This window comes from Homo sapiens, chromosome 2, assembly GCF_000001405.40.
Source record: "Homo sapiens chromosome 2, GRCh38.p14 Primary Assembly".
In the NCBI taxonomy this organism is placed as follows: Eukaryota; Metazoa; Chordata; class Mammalia; order Primates; family Hominidae; genus Homo; species Homo sapiens.
This window is the reverse complement of record NC_000002.12, coordinates 19,021,904-19,048,634: the sequence shown is the minus strand read 5'-3', so window position 1 is coordinate 19,048,634 and position 26,731 is coordinate 19,021,904. Positions and strand designations below refer to the sequence as shown.

The window sequence follows — 26,731 nt, the reverse complement described above, 5'->3', positions numbered from 1 at the left end:
AACATTATTGAGCACTTCTGGTGCGCCAAGGCACATCCATACTGATAAAGGAAGCCACCTTGGCAATGTACCTTGTAGCTGTTATCTCATTTCATTTAATCCTCATGTGGCTGCAGGTCAGCAATGGGAAGAACACTTAAAGATATCACTCCCACTGCAGAAGGCAGGAATCCATGGCTTCAAAGATCTTGTGTCATTACTTGTTAACGTTCCTGAAACAATTATTAAATATTATGCAATGTTTCAATACTTCAGTGAGCAGAGTGGTTCTATTTTCTAAGGTTGTGTTCATTCCCAGCACCTAGATCATAATACATGTATTTTTATTACATGCATTTTTGAATGAAAAAATCGTTGATAATGAATGAAGGATTTATTTTCTCTGTTCTTGATTCTGAGAAACAGAAAAGAAGAATGTATGAATTCAGCTCAATTTATACTACTTAATTTTTGGTCTCAAAGAGCTGTAGGAAGGATGTTTATCCCAAACCAAAGCAAGACCTTCCTTTTTTTTTTTTTTTTTTTGACAGAGTCTCACTCTTTGTCACCCAGGCTGGAGTGCAATGGTGCGATCTCGGCTCACTGCAACCTCTGCCTCCCAGGCTCAAGCGGTTCTCCTACATCAGCCTCCCAAGTAGCTGGGATTACAGGCGCCCCCCACCACACCTGGCTAATTTTTGTATTTTTGGTAGAGATGGGGTTTCATTATCTTGGCCAGGCTGATCTCAAACTCCTGACTTCAGGTAATCTGCCCGCCTCGGCCTCCCAAAGTACTAGGATTACAGGCATGAGCTACCATGCCTGGCTGACCTTCCTTCTTTTAAGTGGCTGCTTTACTTTGTTGCTCCTTTATGTTGAGGTGCCAGAGTGCAAGTGTTGTTGAGTGCAAAGTGTTGTTGCTGTGGTCATTAGCTTCAGCATAGGAAATGGCATGTGCTCTTCCAGTAGCCCATGTTAGACCTCATCTAGAGAGAGATTTGACGTTTATGAAACTGAAAAAAAACAGTTAAATCTGTAAGAGATCCTTCACATGTTTGCTCTGGGTCTCTCTTCCCCTTTCTCCCTCTTTCTCTTTCCCTCTCTTAATCTATAACTCTATCTACTAATGTCTCTGTCTGTCTTAGAATGGAGACCTCAAATACCTTCCCTATTACTTTGCCCTGGGTAAGCTCAGAATCTGAAAAGAGTCTTTTTCATAGGTTATGACTCAAAACAGTATTTGTTATTATAAGAATCAAAACCAAAGAACATGCCCATGTAGGGATATGCCTCAAATTCAAGTTATTAATTAATTAATTAGCTGGGTTAATGTTGTGTATTTTTAATTCTCAGTTTTTCATGCCTCTGTGCATGCCCACAGGATATGCTGCCTTTTCACTGGACTGTTCCTTGTGCAACCTCCTCCTCAATTTTTGGCTCGTCTTATATCTATGTTTAGACGCCTGAGCTCATCACTATACTCTCCTTTCTCCAACTGTTGTTGGGTGCATTCCCATGCTCCTGACTGCAAGCTGGACAGTTATGGAGCCGGATTCTCACTAAATTAGGATGGTATCTAAATAGCAAAAGGGCTCTTCTCAGCCAGAACAAAATAATATCTTCTATTTTTAGCCATAATGAGGGAAGTTCTGGAGGATTGTAGCTAAATGTGAGATGATGCTTTATTAGGCTGATGGTCTAATACTATCTTCCATATATTATACTGTTCCCTTTTGAGATGTATTTTTTTTTTCTGTATAACACCAAGTATCACATCTCATCTTTCATACTCCATAACTTCAGGGGGCACATTCAAGCAGACTGCAATGAGAATGGTGCCCCCTGGAAGTTTGCAGGGCATACCCAAACAGCCATATGTGTGGCACATATTCCTAAAGTCATAGTACGTTAGCACTAAAATGGGAAGTATAAATAATGTACTTCAAATTCTACTTTTCACAGATAGAAACTGAGGTCCAGCAATGGAGGTTCTTACATATTTTCATATGGTTATTTATCCGGTGGCTGTATGAGTTCATGTGTAGACCACATATTGCCTTACAATTATTCACTCTTCACACATAATAGCATTTGATGGGGGCTAAACCTTTATTTACCATATAAAGTTATTTAAAAATATTTTCACTTTCATAAACTTATAAGATCCCCACTTCGGCCGGGCGCGGTGGCTCACGCCTGTAATCCCAGCACTTTGGGAGGCCAAGGTGGGCGGATCACGAGGTCAAGAGACTGAGACCATCCTGGCCAACATGGTGAAACCCCATCTCTACTAAAAATACAAAAATTAGCTGGGTGTGGTGGCGTGTGCCTGTAGTCCCAGCTATGAGGTGGGCTGAGGCAGGAGAATCTCTTGAACCTGGCAGGCAGAGGTTGCAGTGAGCCGAGATCACGCCACTACACTCCAGCCTGGTGATAGAGCGAGACTCTGCCTCAAAAAAAAGATCCCCACTTTCCGGCCCCACCAACACAGAAGTTTTCATAATTTAAAAGCCATTAATAATTGAAATAAAATCACAATTTTATTCCAAAATTTTTTGCATGAAAACATAAATACTCTTCCTAAGAAAGAGTTTGGGGTAGCATGAAATATACAAGTATAGACTTTAAAAAATTTCCTAAAAGAACACTCACGATTTTTTTTTTTTTTTAACAGAGGATGCAATCTTGGGCGAAACCTACTTTTTGGTTCCTGTCTACTAAACAGCATAAGCTTTATCTTTGATGCTTAGGTTATCCAGCAAAAGAGAGGTCCATAGCCCCCTGTGCTAGAAAGAGCATGGGCTGGGACTTAAAAGGCAGGTTTCCCTAGACTTGACTGTCTTGAGTTTCACTGTTTGACGCAGTTCATTTTATTTCCTTCCCTGGCCCATAGTTTACCAGTTTGTAAAAACAGGCTAGACTAGCTGATCCCTAAGGGTTCTTTTCATCTTTAATATCTTATAATTTATTTTTCTTGAATTAGGTAGAAGGTAAAGACAAATAGTTGTAATAGCACAGGATTCTGTGAAGATTAAATGATACCTACTGTAGGACGTCTAATTTTCAACCTTGCTGCCTATATTTCCTTTTAATGGGATCATTTTGCTCTACTATTCATAGCTAATATATGACTTCCTCTTTACAATCAACTAGTTTGATATACAGTGAAATCTCCTGGTTCCACCCTATCACTACCACCCCCACTTTCTAAATCTTGGAACTTCTTAGCCTTGAAGCAGTTTCTTGACTCCGAGCTGGGTATTTGTTTACTTGGTGTTTTCTATCATCTGGGAATTCTCATTCAGGACTCTCTGTTCTGTATTCATCCTCTCTCTGGTCTCTGTGCTCTTGGCCTCCTCGCTGATTATTCTCTTGCATGGTTTCTTTCCCTTTATGGCTCCGTTTTTTTTCATTTGTTTCATGTTGTTTGTGTCAGTATATTTAAGCTCGGGGTTGGTTTTTTTGGATCCTTTCTAACAAAACTTTGTTTATGTTTTCCTTTCTTTTTCTCCTTGCTAGATTATCTGTGCCTTTCCTGTAGTTTTATTCTATCAGCAACTGCAGAGAATTTGTTAGTGCAATTGAAGGTTTTCCCATTTGTTTACTGGAAACTTCCTTCTCACTCCAAGTCTTCTTATTCTTAGGAGATGTCACCTTCTATGTAATATCACTTGGATACTGAAAATTCTCCATGAACTGGAAGAATGTATGCTTCAGTGTGGTAAACAGAATTTCTAAAATGACCTCTTCCTCCCTGAGATATCCTGACATAATACCCTAAATTTGTAAATACGATGAAATATTCTTGTGATTTTGTGTTATGCTATATGGTACATGTATTAGGGGGTTTCAGAAAAAGAAACCTATGGGAGATATATATGTATATATACACACACCTATTCTTACACAGATAGGAAGAGAGAGAGAGACAGAGAGAGAGTCTTTATTGATTTCCTTGAAGCAAATAAGGAGGTTTAGAGAGTCTTTATTGATTTCCTTGAAGCAAATAAGGAGGTTTTTCTAAACCAAATGGAGTGTTGGATAAACAAACCACCTAAGGGAAGACAAAAAATATTTTGTGTACCTAGGACAACCATACCTTAAAGGAGATGTTTTCCCAATGTATGCAATAAATATGTTCCGTATTACAGTATTCATACCTAAGTTTATATCTCTAAATGAAAAACAGAAATATATATATTTTTTCAGTTGCAGGTGGCTTAAAGATATACTTATTTAAAGGATTTCAAACTGACCACTCACAGACTAAATACTGTTTGGCCTATACAAACTTTTAAAAATAGGAAAATGTACAAAAAGCCTGCACATGAACCCTTTAATCTATAATACAAGTTGAATTTTTTTTTAAAAAAGACATATTGCTTACAGCAAAATTTACACTAAGAAATTTGGTGGCGTGGCATGGGTTAGGAGACTTGTCCTTGCTGTCTGAACATACTATTTAATCTCTCTGTTACTCAGCTTTCTTATCGGTAAAATGAGTTGGTTAAACAAGATCAAGTGGTGCCAGCCCAAAAGCCTTCAAGGAGCAGGCAAGTGACATGAGAGAGTGAATAGACCAGGTGCAACACAAAAGTGAGTAATGGAACTACAACAATTGGAGCTGCACAAGCTGCTTCAAGGAGGCACCAGCCTGTTATTGTCATGGGGAGAAATGGGCACAGTGTTGCCAGATCTTTTGACTTTTCAAAAGAAGTTGATACCTGTTTATTATAAAGAATTTGCTGCTCAAGTAATTACAGAGGCTGAGAAGTCCCATGATCTGCTGCCTGCAAGCTGGAAACACAGGGAGTTGGTGCTGTTGTTCTGAGAACTGGAGGGTCAATGGCACAATTTCTAGTCGAGGGCAGAGGAGTGATGTCTCAGCACAAGCTGTCAGGCAGAGAGAGAATAAATTCTCCCTTCCTCCACCTTTTTGTTCTATTCAGGCTCTCACTGGATTGGATGAAGCTCACTCACATTGGGCAGGGTCACCTGCTTCACCTAGTCCACCAATTTAAATTTTGATATAATCTGGAAACACTCTCAAAGAAACACACAGAAATAATGTTTAATCTGGGAACCCTGTTTCCCAGTTCAGTGGAAACCATCACAATACATTTGCTTTTATAAATAATGAGTTATCCAAGTGGGCCTGATATAATCATGTGAGTCCTTAACAGCAGAGAGCTTTTTCCAGCTGGAGGCTGAAAGAGAAGTTGGAGGGATTTGAAGTGTGAGTCCTGAATAAACCCTGGCTGCTACAAAGATGGAGGGCCCTATAGAAAGCATGAAGGGGAATATGCGCAGCCTATAGGAGCAGAGAGAACCCCTGACTGGCAGCCAGCAGGGAAATGGGGACCTTATTCCAACAACCAGTAATCTAAGGTAACTAATTTGGCAACAACCTGGGTGAGTTTGGGAGTAATTTCTTCCCCAGAGTCCCTAGATGAGACCCCTGCCTGGCCAGCAAGACCCACTTTCTCCCATGAGACCCTAAGCAGAGAACCAAGTTACAATGTACTAGGACTCCGACTTACAGACACTGTGAGATAACAAATTTGTTATTTAAGCTTGTAAGTTTATGGTAATTTGTTACACAACAACAGACAACTAATATTCCCTGCTGTTGTGCTTCTTTGGTGCCTCTGCCCTCCTCCAAACACTGAGGGCAGGCAAAACTGCCAAGTAATCTATTAAAGTATTCTAATTTAGAATTGCAATATTGCTTTACTTGAAGAGAACGGAGAAGAGTCTATCACAGAGTTTTCCATAATCAGTTACCAGTACCTGAACTCCCTAAATCAGCAAATTATGCCCTAAACTCACTCAATGACACAATAGGTTGTTGGGTTGATGGATAAATTCTGAAAATTTGATTCAAACTCACACCTTCCTGAGTTAAATTGTCCATTTCTTTTCTCTTAGGGTATCTTCAAAACAGCTTATTGAGATAAGCAAGGCAGGAGTTTATTACCCCAATATTAAAGATGAGGAAATTGAGGTCCTGAGGGAACCTGGAGGCTCTCCCACAGTCGATCACTGAGAATCTGACACAAGCTGCACTCAAAAATGCTGCTGTGAAAGGTTACGAGTGTCAGTTACATGCATTTTACAATTTGTTATGGATGTTTTTGTACATGTTAATTTGTTTCATTATCAGGTATTATTATTAAGATAATTTCTATTTGGAAGTAAGGAAGCAATGTTAGAGAGTTTATATAATTTATCCAAAATCACAGCAGCTAGTAACTATGAGAGCTCACCTTAAAAATCTGTCCAATGCCTAGCCTTCCCTTTACCTGAAATAGCAAAAGACCTATTAGGGTGTTAGATCAAGCCCCAAATAATTTGTATCCTTCTTGAGTTAAGTTGGCCAGGCGGGCAAATCAAGACAGCTTAATTCTGTTTGATGGTAGGCTTCCTTCCCACTTTACCATGTCTGATATTAAAAGCTTTGCTTATGATTTTCACTGTGGCAAAGACCAAGGTATTCTCACATCTGTCCTATGTATATGTTTCAATGGTTGAACAGTCATGGGCCAATATTTGCTCATAGAATATCAAATCTACATGTACTTAGTGTGTCAAAAGACAGTTCTTTCAAAATTTTTAGGGTTAGGGAAGATAAAAGAAATGGGGGAAGTCTTGACAGATGATAGGAGGGGTGGGGGAGGGAGAGAGTGGGATGATGGTTCCAGGAATATGGAGAAACTTGGAGAAATGCCCAGAATTGGGAGTGGGAGTTAGGGAATGAGACCCAGAGAAAATAAGGGAGGTGATACAGACAGACTCAAAGTGTAAGGAGGCCTTGAATGTCAGGGCAGGAAGTTTGAAATTGATGATGGAGGGACAGAGGAGACAGAGAGACACGTAGGGAAGTGGGGAGTAGTGTTGTCACGGGAGCCCTGGGGGCCTGTCATGGGCATTAGGAGTCTGAGCAGGCTTGCAGGGGAAAGGAGAATTGGAAATTCTCCCGTGCCTCACAGATATATAAATAAAGCACAATAAGGACTATAATGAGGAAATAAATGTCATAAAAATGTTTGATAGCAGATGGAACATACAAACACAAAAAGATGCCAATAGCCTCCAGCCAAGAGAAATAAGGGAAGGAGCTCGGTCTAGGTGACCCCGAAGCTCTGTTTTAGCTTGCATATTCTGTAATTTCTATGCTTTGATTTATTGAATTTCACTAGTGTTTGCCAGCTACTGCCTATGTAGAAAGCACTATGCTGCACAGTACAGAGTGAGGAGTGAGAGGAAATGTGAGGTTGAATATAATCTAGTTCCCTGCTTGGAAGAAGATTTCTGTATATTGGGGGAGAAGACCCTGCAAACTGTATCACATTCCAGAGTGAGCAAGTGCCCTAAGAGGATTATACATATAATGGAAACCTCAACGGGAGGATGGGTGGACTTCAAGTCATCTGTGAAGGTGATGGTTTTAGACACAGGCAAACCCTATGTCTAGTAGTTCCCTACTAGACAAAGGAAAACCCATATCTAAAGGGGTAAGAAAAATGCTCTGGGTATAATAATTATGGTAAGCAGAATTCCAATCTGATCCCCAGTGAATCCCATCCTTGTATAAGCCCCTCCTCTTGACTGCAGATGGAACTCTAGGCTTGCTGTGTTAGAGGTGGTGGATGTCATTCCCGTAATTACGTTATGTTATATGGCAAAGGCGCGGCAATATTCACTCCTGTGTTTGTTTCTTTATATAAGACTCCATCTCAGCACAGTGGAGAGAGATTTCCTGCCACCTTTGAAGAAATCAGTTGCCATTTGTGAGAATTCCACTTGGCAAGGAAGTATGAGACCCTTTAGGAGTCAAGAGCATTCCCCAGCTGAAGACAACACAAAATAAAGACCTCAATCTTAACAACTCCAAGGAACTACATGCTGTTAGATTGGTGCAAAAGTTACTGTGGTTTTGTCATGAAAAGTATGGCAAAAACCGCAATTACTCTTTTTTTTTTTTTTTTTTGAGACAGAGTCTTGCTCTGCCGCCCAGGCTGGAGTGCAGTGGCGTGATCTCAGCTCACTGCAAGCTCCGTCTCCCAGGTTCACGCCATTCTTCTGCCTCAGCCTCCCGAGTAGCTGGGACTACAGGAGTCTGCCACCATGTCCGGCTAATTTTTTTGTGTTTTTAGTAGAGACAGCGTTTCACCGTGTTAGCCAGGATAGTCTCGATCTCCTGACCTCGTGATCCGCCCGCCTCGGCCTCCCAAAGTGCTGGGATTACAGGCGTGAGCCACCCAAACTGCAATTACTTTTGCACCAACCTAATAATACCAACAAGCAGATGAGCTTGGAAAACACTGCTGAACTCCAGAAAGGAAAGTAGCTCAGGGCATACCTAGAGTGTAGTCTTGCAAGACCATGAGCAGAGGATCCAGCTAACACATGCCTGGACTCTAGACCAGTGGACAGTGAGATAGTAAAGGGTTGTTTCTCAAGCCACCAAATTTGTGGTAATTTGTTGCACAGCAATAGAAATATAATACTATAAGCTATCAGGTTAAGTTTGAGCTCTGAGTACATATTGGGGGTTGGTGGGATGGAAGGCTGAAAAGATTGGGAAGAGACAATTTAGTCTAGTCCAAATTAGAATCTATGCACTGAATGTAGTCTTATTCAAATTAGAACTAAATGAAATTCAGTTTCATTTAGAAACTGAATGTTGGGAATGTTGGGAGACACCATGTGGACTACCATGTTCTGTGGTAATGGTCGTGGCATAGTTTGGGCAGTAAGAGGGAGACTGAATATTCACAAGCTGGTAGGAGTTGTCCCCATACTATCTTTCTGGCACTTGCCTGGCTTGTGCAAGTTTACAGCCATTGCCAGGATTTTCTATGGGGCTCCTCCACTTTCTTTGAAGCTGTTAAAGTCTCATAGCACAAGGTAGTGGAGAAGCACAAGGCAGGAATGAATTATGGCTAGACAGAAGTACCATAGAATTCTGGAAGTTTGAGGTGGGTAGAAGCCTAAAAGGCAGGTCTCCTGTTTCTCTCTATGATGCATGGCCCTTCTCTATAAAGTTTCTGATACATGTATATCCTCCCAAATTACTAACCGACGGCTCACTGCTGTGGAAAGACCGGATTGTTAAAGCACGTCAATCATGAGAAGCTTTATTAATCTGAGCTGTAATTTAATGAAATGGCAATTGTCAGAGGTGAGAGGTGCCTTTAAGATTATCAATTTAAAAGAGGAGAAAACAAGACCCATATAGGAGAAGGGAATTATACACAGTCCCATAGTCACTCGATAACAGGGCCAGATAAAACCAGCACCCCTTCTACCAGCAGCCCCTCATGTATGGAACTGACAAATCAAGGAGGAAGGATTTATTTAAACATTCTATTAGATAAAAATATGGCTGACTTTGCCTTTTGAAATTTATATCCAAACCCAACAATTATCCAAGCATTGCCATGGCTTACTAGAGAGAGCACTGTCAAGTTTGTTATGAGTACATATATCTTTCTGCCATCTGTTATTCTTGACTATTTCTACTTCCCTTTTTTTGTTTAGTATATATTTACTGCATAAATGTGCATCTTTTCTTTTAGAAAAGCAAGGCTAGCAGTAGGTTCATGTTTACTTCTAGGGTTGTCCTCTTAATATTAGGGGGTGACTGACGTCCCTTCTTATCTATGAGACATGCTTTTCTCTCTCTGGGCACAGCCCCCATTGGCTTCCTCTAAATTTCAAGTAGATGCTGAAAATAAAAATCTGCCAAGCACTTCAATTATAATTGCTCTCCAGAACCAGAGCAGCAGAATTGCACCACTAGAATGACACACGAATTTTGGAATGACAGTTGAGGAAATGATACAGCTCAGAATCACCCAACATAGGCACTCTTAACCACAAAGCAAGTTCTGTCTTTTATTTCCTCTGAAATTCTCCCATAGGGAAGACAGAGAGGAAGGAACAGGAAAGAGAAAAAGAGGAAAAAGGAGCATGGGAGGAAGGAAAATTGAGGAAGAGAGACACAGTAGAGTATTGAAATAAGAGAAAAGAAAGGGAACATATAATGTTAGATTTTTTTTCCCTGACTCAAAACATTAAAAGCAATTTATCAAGCTGTGTGTGCACCCAGACATATTTCCCTTGATTGGAATGCTGTGTCTACTTCAGTCTCACAACCAGCCACCCATTAAACACAGATTGATATCCTGGAAATTTGGGTGGAGGTTAGTGACTATCTTAAAATGAAGTGAAATTCCTGTAGCCAGGATGGCTGAGTGAAGCCCCTTGCATCCTACTGTAGGGTCTGTCCAAGGCTTCATCTGATAGGAAATGACAAATAGCCACTCTCCAATAGCAGAATTGCCCCCCTGAGAAGCATTCCTGGGAAAGAGCATAAAACCACAATCAAATGACCATGCTGCTTCCCATATTAAGTACACAGTGAGTGGTTCATGTGTGGGCTTTGGACAGAAGTCTAAATCTCCAGACAGACACTTGGACGGCTGTTGTTCCTAATGACTCCACTGGCCTTGACATGTGAGCAAGCAGGACATGTACCCATTAGAGGCAAATTTTTATTAGAGTGGCCATGCCAGGGATTATTAGGAACTTGTAAAGAATGTAATTACCACTTAAGCTGTATTCAGTTGAATATATTTTAACTATAATTGAAAACAAATGAATGCTTAACTGTATGGTTGGTTAGACCTCCATAACCACTGTTATCTTATTATTTACATTAATTAAAACAACATGCACTGGGATTTATTTGCAAGTGTGCAGTTACAATTCAATAAAGGCTTAAAACAGATTTCTTTATTTAGCGTTTGCTCTTGCAGCATTGGCTCAGTGTTGGCCAGTATGATTTTTGCCACAAACTCTTCTGATCCACTGAAATGAGAAAAGAGAGATGTGTATTTCTTTTCATTAAAATAAAATGAATCCTTTCAAAAAAGCATTTAAACTCATCAAGTTCTTTCTTTTCTTTAGTGTAACAGGAAGGCTACGAATGTTTGTGGCCACCTGACCACTTTAATCTTGATGATTTTCAAAAGAAATCAGCTTTCAGCTTTTGTTGATCATTACAAGTATTTGGGGCTTTGAACTACTGAGAGTATTGTATCTGTTTTTAAGCAAATGCAATCATCAAGAATCTCCTAGTATTTTTTTGCCTCATATTTGATGTTTTTTCCCAACATACTAGGAAAAAGTAATTTTAGGGGAGTTTTCTGTAATTATTTAACTTGCCTTCCGAGGAAACCTCTAAGAGCCTATATTGGAAATACTGGAGCTGACTCTAGCTCCCTTGTTCAATGCAATATTGGGACATGACTTTGTGTCCCTGGACTTTAATTTTGCAATCTGTAAAAATGGGGATAAAAACTTGGTCTTATCTACCTAGCAGGGCTATGTTGAGACTGCAGAAGATAGCACTGGAAGGGTGTTGAAATCTATCATGAATATCCCAGAGGTCAGGATCATGACCCATGGTCATCGCAGACCCATGAAGTTGGTCTTCATTGAAGGCAGCAAGAGTCTGACACTTAGTAAATGCTCAATTAATATTTCTTGAATAGTTTTATGGTATGCATCTTTACTGGTTATCAAGATACATTTAGGACAGGCAGAAATGAACCTCAACCTCAGCTGTGAGGATTTATGTAGTTTGAAAGAAGAGTGCATGTGTTTGCCACAGTGAGCTGCAGGAATGCCTCCTGAAGAGCATTCTGCAAGTGTCTTTTCCACTTGTCCTTCCACCAGTTTTCCTTGGTCTTGTTGTCACAGCTAGCTAACTAATTCTTTGGAAGCATTGCCCTTTTTCATTTTGCTTGTGGTCGTCAACCTTATTGTCAGTTTAAGGGACATCTTTGCTTAGCTAAACACAAACATCCATACATTCTTACATCTTCCAGCGACCATACGATGTGGCAGTGAGAGATGTGAACCTGAGGGCAGTGCCTGGAAGAAGAAGAAGATGTGCCACAGAGAGGACAGGAGCTCAGGATTTGAAATTCTTTAAAAGACTTTGTCATAAGATCCTGACAGAGATGGGGCAAAAGGGTATTTAATTTCAAGGAACCAAATTCTAGGAAATCAAAACTAGTTACAGATGAAGTTCTGGTAAATTATCCTTTATAAAACAACTACCAAATGGACATGGCAGACAAGATTTCATCAAACCTGATCCTTGTGTACTTTCCCACCTTGGTCAGTCATCACTCTCACCACCTCTTTACTCATGAGACACATATACTCTACATGTGAACAGGCAGCAATGTCCCTTTCTCTGAACATGTCATATTTTTATTCTTCTGTACCTTTGTACCTACTGTTATCTCTGCCTGGAATACCTAATTCCTGTCTCCCTTGGAAGCTCAGAGTTTTATGATGGTATAATTTCATGTCTGCCTCCTCCACAACCCATGAGCCTCTTGAGGGCAGAATCTCATCTCAATCATTTTTACACTTTTGAATCTCAGTCAGGTGCTGGCAGGGAGTGTTTATTTACTGAAGGCATATATGTCTTTGGTGTCTGATACAACTTTCTGTGAAGATGTGAATGTTCTAGATGTATGCTCTCTGGTCCAAGAGCCACTAGCCCTATGTGACTATTGAGCACTTGAAGTGTGGCTAGTGCAACTGAGGAGCTAAAGTTTTAATTTTAATAAATTTAAATAGTCACATGTGACTAGTGGCTGCTGCACTGGACAGCACAGCTATAGATGATAAAAGAATGGCCAAAAGAGAGTCTAAGAAATGCTGCTGACATTCTATGACAAGGGGACTTGGCATAAACCCAAATGAGTGAGACCAGAGATGAGAAAGGGCATCCTACTCAACCCCCACATTTCTCCCTCACGCGATACTGATCATGTAGTTCTGCAGCTGGCTTGGAAGCCAGAAGATGCCGGTATGCATAGCTATACTTTCTGTCCCTGACTTGACTCCACTCCTGAATGGTCAACACACTGTGTTTGGTTGGTGCCTGTAAAAAGAATCCTTTCCATAAAGTATGAAGAGGGCTTTGGAAAGGGAATCAAATTCAGTGGCGAGGGAGGGAATGAACTTAGAGTCCACTGAAGGAGCCCTTGTGATGCAAGGCAGTGCTGTAAGACCCTTCTCAGAGTGGAATTGCCTTGTCTTTGGCACACCATTCCTGAAAGGCCGGGAAGGGCCCAGCTCAGACAGGGAGACAGAGAATGTCTGGGTTGGGAAAGAGAAAGAGCACTGCAGGGTCACCAGTTGGAACAGACTGAAACCAAACCCAGCTGGAGGTCAGGCGACATGCTTTCCAGATGTCTCCCAGGGACTGACTCCCATTACTTTCTGCAAAAGAGCTGCTTGAAATAAAAGTGAAATCACCACAGCTCCATAGTCATGTCCTTGACTCCCTAACACTGCCCTTTCCTTGCTGGGGAGCATTTAAATGTTCATCACCTCAAGGGTTTCTGATCGTGGCTTCAGAAGATCTATGAGTCCCCAGAATGGTAGGTCAATTTTGTGTATATAAGTATGTTCCAGAAAAATGACTCAAAGCATTTGTAAAAAGTTCAAGATTTATAAATCAAAAGATTTAGAACTGCTGTTCTATTTTACATCCCACCTGCCCTGTCTCATATGAAGAACCCAAGGCTAAGAGAGCAAAAATGACATTTCCCAGGCCATGCACTGAGTCAGTGGCAGAACAAGAATGGAAGAGGAGAGACCAAAGGGTAGATCTCATAGCTCCTCATCAGAGATCCCATTCTCTCTTCCCCAGCAATCATCAGCACTTTTGGAAGTAGTTGGTCTACCTAATATGCACCCATCATGTCAACGTCAGCCTTGATTTCTCCAGTCTTCATAACATATCGTGAGAAACTTAGTTGCGCTTGGGTGAAATCCAGAGTGAAAGTCAGGTCTTCATGATTCCCAGTGGTCTCTGGGAACTGCAGAATTAACACAAATAATCTGTTCATTCTCAAAGCAACCAAATATTATCTGTAGTCTGAATAAATTACATTTTCCACATACAAATGAGTGCCTTAAAATGAATGCAGATGCTATTGAGATAAAACAAAATGCTAATTTATCTGAAGTTAATTTATTTCAAACAAAGCACTAAAAGTTAAATGACCACAATTGGGGCTACAAGCTTTGAAGTATTTTGATACCATAAAGGAATCCTCACACTCACAAAAGTATGAACCATTAAAGTACGTCTACTACATTTTCCTGATTTGGCAATGAATAAATAAAGTAAGTTCAAGTTTATTTCTCTATAACTAGTGTTTCAAATGTTTTTTCTATTCATTAAATCAAAAAAAGCTGTTGACATATCTCAAGTGATGGTGCCGTATCTCATAATCAGGGTCCCTAATGCTGCCAGGCATTCTCCATTTCATGGAGGCTGCTGCCACTTAGAAGAAGCACACAGGTTTCTGATTTTTAGGAATAGGATGTAGGTACCCCTAGGTATCATTCCTAGGGATATTGCCCGTATCTGTGTGTAGATGGGTTGAGATTATAATATCTTTTTCAAAACTGAGGACAAGTGGTACAGCTATGGATTGTAATGGGAAGGTGGCTCTGGGGTTGACTGGATCCCATTCTGCCAACTGCATGACGGGCAGACTGTCTCATCCTACGTCCTAGAAGGAAACAAATGGCCAGTGCAATCTTCCTGGTTTCCTTATAATAAAGACACCATTTATTATGCTCTCTGCTTTGTTTATTCTCACTGAGATTTTTCATAAATAAAAACAAACTTGTGGATTATACAGTTATGAATATGTAAAACATACTTGTTGGGACCCTCCAGTTGTCTCACATCATTGTTTTCTCCCAAAAGTCCTTAATTAAATTCTAGGTCAAATAAACCCAAGGGAATAAGACCACACATAGTACTTTAAACTGTGTTTTAGAAGATGATGGATTATGCCCTCACAGTAGCAGGTTCTTAAAGACATTTCAACTCAGGGTTGTTTGTTTAGACATCTAGAGACAGGCACCCCATTCTGCAACTAGAGCACAGAGGACCTCCTTCTGCCTGAGTTTTTGGAAGTGGACAGACAAGTGGCCCTGGTCCTGCTACAGGAGGCACACATGACATCTCCCCAAGAAGGCCATGGGGTTGCTTGCCAAAAGGAAGTGAACACCAGCAGGGACTGCAGGAGCAGCAGGAATTCTGTTATAAGGAAGCAGGCTCACTAGGAAAACACATGCAGGTCTTGCTGAGTTTATTTATAGAACCGAGTGGCTCACATGCACCAGACCTACTTCTTGCCCAACGTTGGCAGACATGACTCTCTAGTGTTTTACGTCCTCCAGAGTTAGCACAGGCTTTGGTGCTCTGTGTCCTTTTTTCCAGCCAATAGCCACCATCTTGTAATGTCACCATTTTCTCTACTATGATGCCACTACTCCTGTATCTCATGATGATTCCTTCAGTCATCCATTCCTCATCATAATGGATTTTCAGACTTTTTTCTCCAGAAAGTAGTTTTGACAGTGATCTGTGGGGCATAATCATGAATAGTTTGATTGCTAATGAGAAGGCCAAGAATATTATGTCATCAAGGTGAGTGAAGATGATGGGAGATGAAAAAGGGAACTCTATATCAGCCTACTTTAATGGACCCAATACTTACATGTGTTTTGAGAGTTGAGTTCCAGGTGTAAGAAGTTACCAGGGCCATATATGATTAGAGTTGGAAATAAGTTCTTCAAAAAGCACTTCACATCATGGGCTTTTCTGCTAATTTTTCTTGCTTTTTTCAACTACTAATCAAAGCCAGTAGGGATAGATAACTACTGATTCCATCCCTATCCAAAGCAGGATTTCATAATACCTGATTACAAATATACCCTGTACTTGATATACTCTTGGGATTTTTGCATTCCCCGAAATAGAGGAAAGAAGCTTACAATATCCACCCAATTTACAAAGAAAGAGACTAGTTTTGGGGGTTTAGAATGATATGGTTTGGACCAAAAGATATGATCAGTAAGTGTCATAAAAGCCATGTAAATCTGGAAGATGGTACTTTTACAGATGCCCGAAATAGTCCCAGCCCAGCAAACCCGGTTGATAATGAGTATCTTTTGTCAACAGAGGAGGCCTCCTGGAACTAATTCATAAAAAATAATTCACAGTGGACCAGATGCTTTCAACCACAGGATGTTGAGGATTTTTCACTATAGGTTGAACTTTTAGAAATAACATTTGTCAATGTTGTTTTTATAAGATGATTGATTATTTTAGTTAGCAAGTATTTAATGAACACCTACACTAGATGGATCAGTAACACAAACATGAAAACAGACTTAGTTTTGGGTATAAGGCCCACCCAGATTCAAATGGCTTCTAGGGAGCAAACTTGGTCATTGGTTGAAAGTTAATCCAACACAAAAATATCTTTCTGAACAAAATTTCTGTAAATACGAAAAAAATATAAACCCAGAATGATAGCAATGGAAACACAAATTTCAGTTTCTACAAAAATAGTTTTTTAAAGATCATAGAAGACGAGAAAATAAAAAAAATACTGGCATATTGGAATTGTATGGATAGTTTTTCTCATTTTATATTTAAAGAAACTTAGGCTCAGATAGAGAAGGGATTTTTTTGAAGTAACAGAGTAAAAAATTGAGTAAAATTCCAACTTTTTAACTCCAAGTCTAGCATGTTGCTCCTTTCTCTCCTAATCTTCATTCTTTTCCTATTGCCTTCCTGAGCTACTGGTAACAGTTTTGAGTTTCTTTGTACTGAGGCACTGACGAGGCCAGGAGAAAGTGCACAGGAAGTTATCATTTGCCTGCACATGAGCAACTAGGCTTTTTATTCCCTCAGTTGAAAATGCAGTCTGTTTTTTGGTTGGGTGACATAGCAATTAAAAAATTCTATATGACTAAACATTCTGGTCACCTCTACAGAGGATTATATTTCCCACATGTACTTTTCCACAGAAGCCATCACAGAGCTGTGGTGTGATTCTTTCTTCCCTTCCCTCCAGGTGTCTGTGTCTTTCTCACACATTGTAAGGAACAGGACAGTCCCTCTGATGCGCTGGTACCTGGCCGCCATGCAGATCATGAGGGGAGAGAAGCAGGCTGCTTCGGGGAATCCTGCCATAGAGGCTGGGTGGGAGAGAACAGGAGCTCAGATGTGAAGAACAGGGACAAGGGAGCAAGGTATAGCAGCACCAGCATTTTCAGAGTCAAGGCAAGAAACTGTGAGAAGCCCATCTTAGAAACCCTCTTCTCTGAGCTATCCCAGTAATGCAATTTTATTATACTATTGTGCCCTAAGATAACATTCTTCTACCACGAAGAGGGAGATTGACTATTTTATCAGTCATTAATTTTGGTAAGTATTTTTGAGTCTTATTCATATAATAAAAACTAGATGGAAAAACAGCTGGCAAATTGTATGTGTGTATGTGTGTGTATGATTTATCATATATATCACACATATGATATATAGTGATATATATTATATGTATGTATTATATATACCAGCAGATTTATATATGCTTATCGGTTCTGCTCAGCTTTCTGTTCCCACATGAGTGTGGAATTTATGTTGGGTTCTACAAAAGACAAACCTCCCCACTCAAAGCTTTTGCTCATTCTGGGATTCAAGAGAATTATAAACTACCAATGCAAGGCAAGGTTGGACAAATGGGCAAATGAAGAGTGCTGATAGAGACAGATCCTTGGGAGACTTTGCTATTGATGATTCCTGGACAGAGAGTCCCACCAGAGAACTTTTGCAGTGGCTGGTTTCAAACACCTCTGGTAGCTCCCACAATGACATGCACCTCTGTACTCTCACCCTGATCTCAGCATTGAGGCCTGAAAATACTTGCATTTTCTTTTCTTTAAGAACAAAGATAATCAGTCCTGTTTTTATTCACGTGTTTCTTCTTATTTTATCCCTTGCCAGGACCCCCTGAGGCAGATCCTAGGTAATTCTGGCAGTTGCAGGCTACCTCGGAATAGGGCTGTTTTTTGTTTGCTGTCTGGGTCAGGTCCCGACCAACTTTATGGAGGACCTTTATATTCTCATCCTGGGTTATCATGGAGTTCACAAAGAAGGAATACCTGGTGTTCTAAGAAAGTTATTCAGGAAAAGAAAGAACAGCATTGGTATTCATTTGCCAGATATATATTTATTAAAATAGGGCTTAGTGTTGGAAATAGAAAGAAATAGATAATCCCTGCTGTGGAGAGGCCCACGTTATGGTGGGAAAGCAGACATGGCAACAGGCAATCACAAAATGGCGTGCTGCTAGCAGACAGGTATGCATGCAGTATAATAGTAGCATAGAGAATAAAATCATCTCCCATGTGAGAAGGAGCCATAAAAGAGGTGAGAACTGAGTTGAGCTATAAGGAATAATCTAGGGTTCACCAATCTAGGAAAGGGTAAAAAATAAACAGACAAAAGACACAGCATATGCAATACTGCAGAATACATAATATAGTTAATCTATTACTCTAACTCAAGTGGGATAAGGTGTAGTTTATATTTCCCTCTGAAGCCATTGCAATTTTCCTTTCGCCTATTGGATTTATTGTTTGTTTTGAGAAATCAATAAATAGATAAGGAGGAAAGAATTAAGGGCAGAGCGGGATAGGGAGATAAATAAGAATAAAAGCAAATTTGCTAGACCCTTGCTTACATTATTACCACACGAAAAGACAGATGGGAAAAATCTCCTTCAAAGTCACTGATTCATTTGTGCCAACCCCTAGTAACACCTAGCAACTTCCTATTATTGAAATTGTGAAACTAAGCCTGGAATGGAACATTCTGTATCAGCCTTAGTCATTGATCCCATTGATTCAGCATGGTGCTTCATGGAATCCAAGAGATTGCCTAGAGCAGAATTCATTCTTTCTGTTTCCTCCAAAGTGCCAGCAAAGCATCTTCAAGTGGAGCCAGCTAATCTGAACAGCATTTGAGCATGCGGTGCTCCCATGAGTTACAAGTACGTGAATTACAGGCAAGATGTGCACACAGGGATAGACACCACTGACTCCAGGAGGCCCCCAAGGGAGGAAGACTTCTTGGTCCACCAAGTTTGGTAATACACCTGGATCCTTCAGCAATGGTATACAAAAGAACTCTCCCTGAAGCATAGGATCCTGAATGCAGCATTATTTATGGAAAGTGAGGCAGTACAACGAAGAACCTGGCCTCTTCCTTTCTCCTGGGCTCTGAGTACCTCCCTTGGGAAGGCTGTCCAATCATGGCAGTCAGAGGTTATGTGCAAGTGTTGTTTGAGGGGAGCAGCAAAGAGCCGACTGCAGGTGTGGGCATGCCCCCTCCTCCATCCTAGGCCTTCTGGAGAAGACTGCGCTTTCTGAGAAAGGCCTAATGAAAAGGATCAAGCTCACACAGAGGCCCTGCTGTGCAGGAAGATTGCTTCCAAGAAGCGATTCATTTTTAGTTTAACAACTGTGCGTTTGGTCCCCACACAATTTATCTTCATGCAAAATCACATACCTGTGTGCCAGATGTGCACAGCTGTATATGAGCAACTGCTGATCTATCTGTATCACATGCCAAGTGCCTGTTTCTTTAAATTAGGGTGGGTTGGGATTTGGGCCATGTGAAAATTTCATTTTGAAACCAGAAACCAAGCAAGCCCTGACTGTGGAGGGGCGGGGGCGGGGGGCGGGCGTTGAGCATAGCATGATGATGAACCAAGGTTGACTTAGTCTTTTCCAGGACCCCCCAGAAACTCCCCCCTTTCACGACCCCTAAAATTCAGCTGCATTCTAGGTCTGGAGAGGTTAGGCTATCTGGAGACTTAGTTCTGCCAAAGTGTGCGGCCCTTGTAAATGCCTGTGGTGAAACTGCAAAACCTCTGCCCAGCCCTCAGGAGCTCTTGAAGCAAAATAGAACTTGACATTTTTAGATGGTGTTTGAGTTTTTACCCTCTGGATTCAGAAGAAGCAAGACCACAGTACACAAAATGAAGGCTACTACCCCAGTAGCGGGGCATTGCAATCCACCCAAGAGCAGGAAACTGAAGTGATGAGGGGACCGTTCCTCTGGAAACCCACAGCTTTGCGTGCACTGAGGGATCCACAACAGAACACGTGGACGTTTCCCCTCTGGTCTTGCCTATTTGTGCTTTCATAGCCAAAGAAAGTCAATAGGAAAAGGAGACTCATCCATCATTTTGTCAGTTTATGACTTATTTTTGAGTATCCACTAATGCTAGGTGTCCAGGTAGATATCAACAGGAGGTAAAGGAGTATAGTGCTTGACCCATAATAAATATTCAATATATGTTATTTGCTGATAAGGTGATTGCAGATGTACTATTTTTTTTTTTAATTTTTGAGGACCTACCAGATGTCAGATACTATGCATAAAATCCCCTGTTAATTCTCACATCGCAACAAAGCAGGCAATATTACTCCTATTTTGCCAGTAGGAAAACTGAGGCTCAGAGAGGTTACAAAACTTAATTTTAAAAGTCATGTATCTCATACATGGTGGAGTTAGGCTTAAGATTTAGCTGTGTTTGATTTCAAATTCTGTCTTCGTTCCACCATGCTGCTGTTGTTTCTTCTCTAGCAGTTCTCAGAGCCTCAAGAGAAGGCTTTTCCCTCTAGGAGTGTACTGCATTTGCTCCTTCTGGCCTGGAGACCTGCCCCTTTAATAGGTAACCTGGATGAAAGACCCCAGAGCGACCTCCCCACAGTTACACCTCCTAGTTCCTTTCTGGTTCTCACATGGGCAGGCACTGATAAATCAGCTCACGGTACACAGGCTCAGTTTGAATTTCAACAACATTTTCTAAAAACAGTAACCAGATGCAATTCAAATCACATTTTGTCCACATAAGGAATCCATTCCAAGAAAAGTCAGAGGATGCGTCTCAGTCAGATGAGTGGCTTCTAATCTTCCCTGGCCTTGTTTTAGAACTCCAAGAAGAAATAATATCCAGATTAATTTTAGAGTTCAGTCATTGAATTTGGTCTCAGGAAAATTGCATATATAATTTAGTCTTATAACGATAACCCCGAGATCAAAGATCACTCAAGGGTAGTGATCCCTCTAGACACCTGTCACACTCAAAACAATTTCCTCTTTTCAGTTTAAAGAACTATTTCAGACTTTGTTTTCTCACAGGCTACTTTGAAGAAACAGGCCACCATCCTGGGAGTAAAACAGAGTTCTTCACGAATTACATCATTTATTTTTCAACAAATATTAACTTAATTTGGTTTAGTTTAATAAGAGCGCATGATCACAGATTTGATAACCAAATGGATTCCTTGACATAAACTTCAGTCCTGGTTTAGCTCTCTTCCAGGAAGAAAAACAAAGTCTCTCAAAGGTAATTGGTATATCACTCTTCCAAAGTGGGAAAAAAAAGAAAGGGTAGGCTTTCAATTTTCTTAAACATAAAACTCAAAATCCACATATAATAATAAACAAATGGTTTAAGGCATTTTATGTCATAAATGTCCTGCCATTATTTAGTTATGAATTTTCAGGTTCAGGAATTATGCTAAAACCCAAGAGTCATTATGGAATGTCTGCATATTTGATTTCCAAAGCTCCAGATAGGTTTTAATGTGTTCAATATTATACCACTGTACTCCCCAAACTATTTCTGTATCCTCAGAGACATGTCCTAATAGCAGGCCTCTGTGTCTTCTGCTTAGTGAAAAGTGTGAATAATAGCTCCAAAAAGAATATATATGTAATATATAGCTTTTTTTTTTTTTTTTACTTTAACATATGTTCCCACATAGCCAAATGATTCAACTCAGTACAGTTAACAACTTAGAAAGGGATTCATTGAATTTTCCAGGTCTCTTCATGGCCAGAGTTGCTTTGTAAGGAGACCCTAAATGTGGAATAATCAACATGTTAAAGTAATCTAGATGTTTATGATTTGATAACTCTTTAGTGCATTGTTTAACAACATGTTTTCAATTTACTTTCCTTCAAATAGCTCCAAATAACCCCGTGATTTTGGATGATTGATTATGGGAATGCTGCTTTCACTGTACATCCAAGGTAATTTTAAAATTACATCTTCTTTTCATTGTTAAGGGGTAAAATCATTTGCAGGTCTTGACATGATTTATCAGAGATAGAGGGACAAAGGGTCAGTCCTGGTCTCACTCTATTAGGACATTATTATGTGATCCCAGAAGGAAAGCATGCAGCTCTGTGGAAGCTGGGTTCTAGTTCCAACATGTCAATAATCAGTTCTGTGGCCCTAGAAAAGTCATCAACTTCCCCGGCCTCACTTTCCTTCCATTTGGAAACCAACAAAACAATTCAAATCAACACTTCTTCCCTAGAGATTGTGATTCATTGTAAGTGGAGATGGGCCCAGAAATCTGTATTTTCTGCTTAAGAACCTGTTGTTTATAACCAGATCGTTTGGAAAATACTAGATTAAATAGCTTCTAAGTCCAAGTCTAAAATTGTACAACTCTAGAACCAAGATTTTCTGTTCTCCAGACATTTTTTCTTTCAATATAACTATTCAATTTTGTAAAATTATTTATCCATCTTAATGACAATCTTACTTCACAGTGACTGATGCCTGTTTCTCTCAGACACTGTGCTCATGCTTGTATGGAAATAACCTGTTTAATCCTACTAAGAACTTCACACTCTCAGTATGTTAGTATGATTATTAATCCTAGACGCTGCAACAGACAAATTCCCCAATCTCAGGGGCTTAACAAAGTAAAGATGTATTTCCTGCATATGTAAAATCCTCCTTCACCTTGTAACTATACTGTCTCAAACACATGTTCTTTATGGGAAGAGAAAGACGGGGACGCTCTGAATGATACCTATCTTGACACTTCTGTTCACAGTTCATTGGTTAAAATATCATATAACCTGACGTAATTGAAAGGCAGGGAAATATAAAGGAACATATACACATCTGGTAAGCAAAATCATCCACAGTAGAGAAGCTAGATTTCACAGTTTAAGAAACTGCAGCTCAGGAAGGCCAATTAAGAGTAGGGTGGGACCGGCCGGGAGCGGTGGCTCACACCTGTAATTCCAGAACTTTGGGAGGCCGAGGCAGGCGGATCAGGAGGTCAGGAGATCAAGACCAACCTGGCTAACACAGTGAAACCCCGTCTCTACTAAAAATAGAAAAAATTAGCTGGGCATGGTGGCAGGCACCTGTAGTCCCAGCTACTTAGGAGACTGAGGCAGAAGAATGGCATGAACCCAGGAGGCAGAGCTTGCAGTGAGCCAAGATTGTGCCACTGCACTCCAGCCTGGGCGACAGAGTGAGTGAGACTCAGTCTCAAAAACAAAACAAACAAACAAACAAAAAAGAGTAGGGTGGGACCATACTTGAATGTCACCTGGCATTTCATACAAAAAAAGAAGGCAGAGTTTCCAAGAATAGAATGTATATTTTTCCTTAGAGAGAAGATTTATTTTTCAAATACATAACTAGAGAAATGATATTGTTAAAGTTGTCCTTGCTACTGTGTCTTTGCATGCTAAAATCAAAAGACATCTTTCTCCTTCAAGCCGGCAGATATTCCTAATAAGGGGCCATGGGGTCTGAGGAGATTGGCTTTGCTGTGGTCTACTGTGAGTGTGACTCACTCATGACAACGAAATAGGGATCTCCGGATGTCAAAAATCATTCTTTCACCTTAGCTTTCCCAAACCGTTCTCATCACAGATCATTTCTTCACAACTGAACCTGTGAAATAACAGCTTTGCCCACTCAGAGCACACCTGTCATAAACAGATACTGTTTTCTTTCTGTCAATATTTTGATGCTGAGAAACCTCTCAATAATTCAATGATGAATTTTAAGGGTGTGGAGGGACCCCAAGATCTGTGGCAACAGAATTCGGGATGATAGGTCTTGTGTTGGAGGAGCCTGTAGTCTGCAGCAAAACAAAAAAAAATCACAACAACAAAGAAACGGGGTGCTGCCATCGTCCGTGTACGTCTGAATTAAGGTGGCCTAGAGAAGGAAACAGGTACTTCCGCTGGCTTGAGGAGTCAGGAAGGGCAGGGGAGAGAGAGAGAAAGAGAGAGAGAGAGGATGATGATTGATACAGGTCTGCATGGATGAGGCGTCATCGGTCAGATATATGGAGTGGGGCAGGAGTTGGAATGCATTCCAGGGGAGGGGAGAACTTGAGCAGGAATGTTTAGGTATCAGAGAGTCTTAGCATTTGGGAGAATGCAGTGGGCAGGTGATGGCTAGAAATATGGCTTGAGCTAAAAGTTCAAAAATCTAAATGTCGTACAAAGGAGTTTGGTCTTTACTCTATGTGCATTGGAGGCATCTGAGGTTTTTAACCAGGGGATAAAATATGTGCTGTGGAAAGATCGTTTGTGTGTTCTGGAGAGATGGAATGCTGCACTTGCAGAGCATCTCTGGATAAATCTAAACAACAGTGTAACACTGACAGATAGTTAACTGTGCCCCAATATCTATCTTATTCTACTTATATATAATAATAGACATTTAAGCCAGGCATATGACTATTCAGAAGGAAGATGAATTTCTCAGGTTTCCTTACAGTTGGTATGGCCATGAAACTAAGTTCCAGCCAATGAGACTTCAGCTTAAAGATTGTGGCTGCTCCTGGATCTTTTTCTTAAAAGACCTCTGGCACACATGGAGGCATCTCTTGTCTTCTTGCTGCTACTTAGAATGCAAATGAGAGGTCTACCCATTTGGGCCACTTTTTGACAAGGCCAAGTTGAATTGAAAAGGCCAATTGATTTCTTCTTCATTGAATTGCTTTCCCACTTTTGTTAAAAGTCAGTTGGGCTTATATGTGGGGGTCTACTTTTGAGTTCTCTATTCTGTTCCATTGATCAATGTGTCTATCTCTCTGCAAAGAACACATTGTGTTAAACACGGTGATTATATAGTCTGCTTTTATGTCAGGTAGAGTAATTCCTCCCAACCTATCATTCTATCTCAAAACTCATGATCCATTTGAAGAAACACATCATAACCTAAAATACACATACATGTGTATGCACATATATGTGAAACATGTTTGATGAAAAACTTACATTGATTATTTGTGATATGGCCTAATTTTTTTCTAACTATACTATTGTATTCTATTTCATTCTATTTTTTCATTCAAACATACTGGTCATGATACACTAAAATGACTTCATTATCATCTAATGGATCTCTTGATCCGCAGTTTAAAAAACACTCCACTGGAAGGAGAGGGTAGTGCATATTGACCATAAATCCACCATATCCCCCATAGATGAAACCTATAGTGAAAGCCTCATTGGAGGTGGAACAAACAATGAAGTTGTCCCACTGCACATCAGGTTTCTTTCCACTTGGGAGAAGGGCTTGTAGGGGACATAAAGCCCATTTTTTGAGGATGTTCTCACCAGGAAAAAAATCTCCAGTCTCTAAATATGGGATTGGTTTTCTTTAAAAATAAAAAAAATGCTCAATAAGAAACTTAAAAACTGTAAAATGATATTCATTTTCATGCTAATCAGCAGACCAATTTTTCTTTACATATTGTCTTTTATCCTTATACTATACTGCTCTGAGTTATACGTTATAATTTCAATTTTCCATATGATGAAAATATAGATGCATAGAAGTTTAGTGATTTGCCCAGATTTGCACATCTGATAGGCAGCACAGGTCAGACTCAAATATGTGCCATGACCCCAAATCTCATGAATGAAAGTAAACTGAGACCTTCCATGTGGTCAAAAGTCAGGAGCCGGTAAAGGAGGGAGATGGACTCTTCCAGAGGGTTTGTAAGATTGTTCTGAAGATGACATAATAACTGCCGACATGGACCATGAAGCTGAGGGTGACACCCTGAGCTGCTTTCTTTTGGGTCTCCAAGAAAGCCTTCATGGAGTGGAGCCACCACACTAGCCCAGGACAGCTACAGCTGTTTTTCAACATGAGCAGAAAGAGAAATTTTTATCAGGTTTAAGCCACTGTTATTTTGGGTTTATGTTATTCACAGTGAATCTAATCCTAACTGATACAACCACTATCCTGCAAAAACGGTGGCAAAAAATATATATCACATATCCATCACATAAATCCACTTTTATAAGGAAATGAAGTCAAATTATTACCCCCAATAAAAAGGTGTTTCGCAACATGACCCAGGAAAGTAGAAGTAACATTTGTTCACTATTTTTCCCCGTCTCACAGCTCTCCTGGCCTCAGCGGATAAGTATATGAGAGCACAGTTTTCCTGGTGTCAGGATATGAAGATCCAGGGAACAAAGAACCTCAAAGAACAACACCTGGATTGTCAAGGTTTGGCCAGCAGTGCACTTTCTCCAACCTTACAGTCATACGCAAGGTGAAAAACTCTCTTGTTTTCTCTTTTCCTAAGTTTTCTAAAAGAAGAAAGAAAAGGGACAAAGACAGATAAGTGGAATTTAAGAAAAATGAAATATAAACAAACTACACTTTTCCCTGAACAGAAAAGCTCAATTAAGCAAAGACAGACAGAAGAGACATGTAGGATGCTAATTTGAACCATAGCCCCATGTCTAATGCTTTTAGCCAAGGAAAGAAGAGAAAAGCAAAAAAGAAATCTGAGTCAGAGGGAAGATGTCATGGTGAGTTTCAATGGGAAGAATTCCTTATTAATTCTAAAGAACACAAGGCAACATGGATTTAATTATACAAGTCAACCCACCCACATTCCTCCGCTGCCTTTCACACACATGGGCTTCTGAGGATGATGAAAGGTGGGTAGGGAGAAAGGGAAAAGGAAGCAGAGCACA

The 26,731-nt window shown here is 40.2% G+C and overlaps 2 long non-coding RNA genes across 2 annotated transcripts in view; one reads left to right on the top strand and one right to left on the bottom strand.

Moving 5' to 3' along the window:
* Positions 1-26,731, bottom strand: part of LOC105373456 (uncharacterized) — a 529,181-nt gene that overhangs the window by 40,722 nt on the left and 461,728 nt on the right. The window lies entirely within an intron of this gene.
* The window catches only part of LINC01376 (long intergenic non-protein coding RNA 1376), a 40,521-nt gene continuing 35,453 nt past the window's right edge, over positions 21,664-26,731 (top strand). Inside the window, exons 1-2 of the long non-coding RNA NR_135287.1 lie at positions 21,664-21,994; positions 26,148-26,301. This is a non-coding gene — a long non-coding RNA (long intergenic non-protein coding RNA 1376). The remainder of the gene's footprint in view (positions 21,995-26,147; positions 26,302-26,731) is intronic.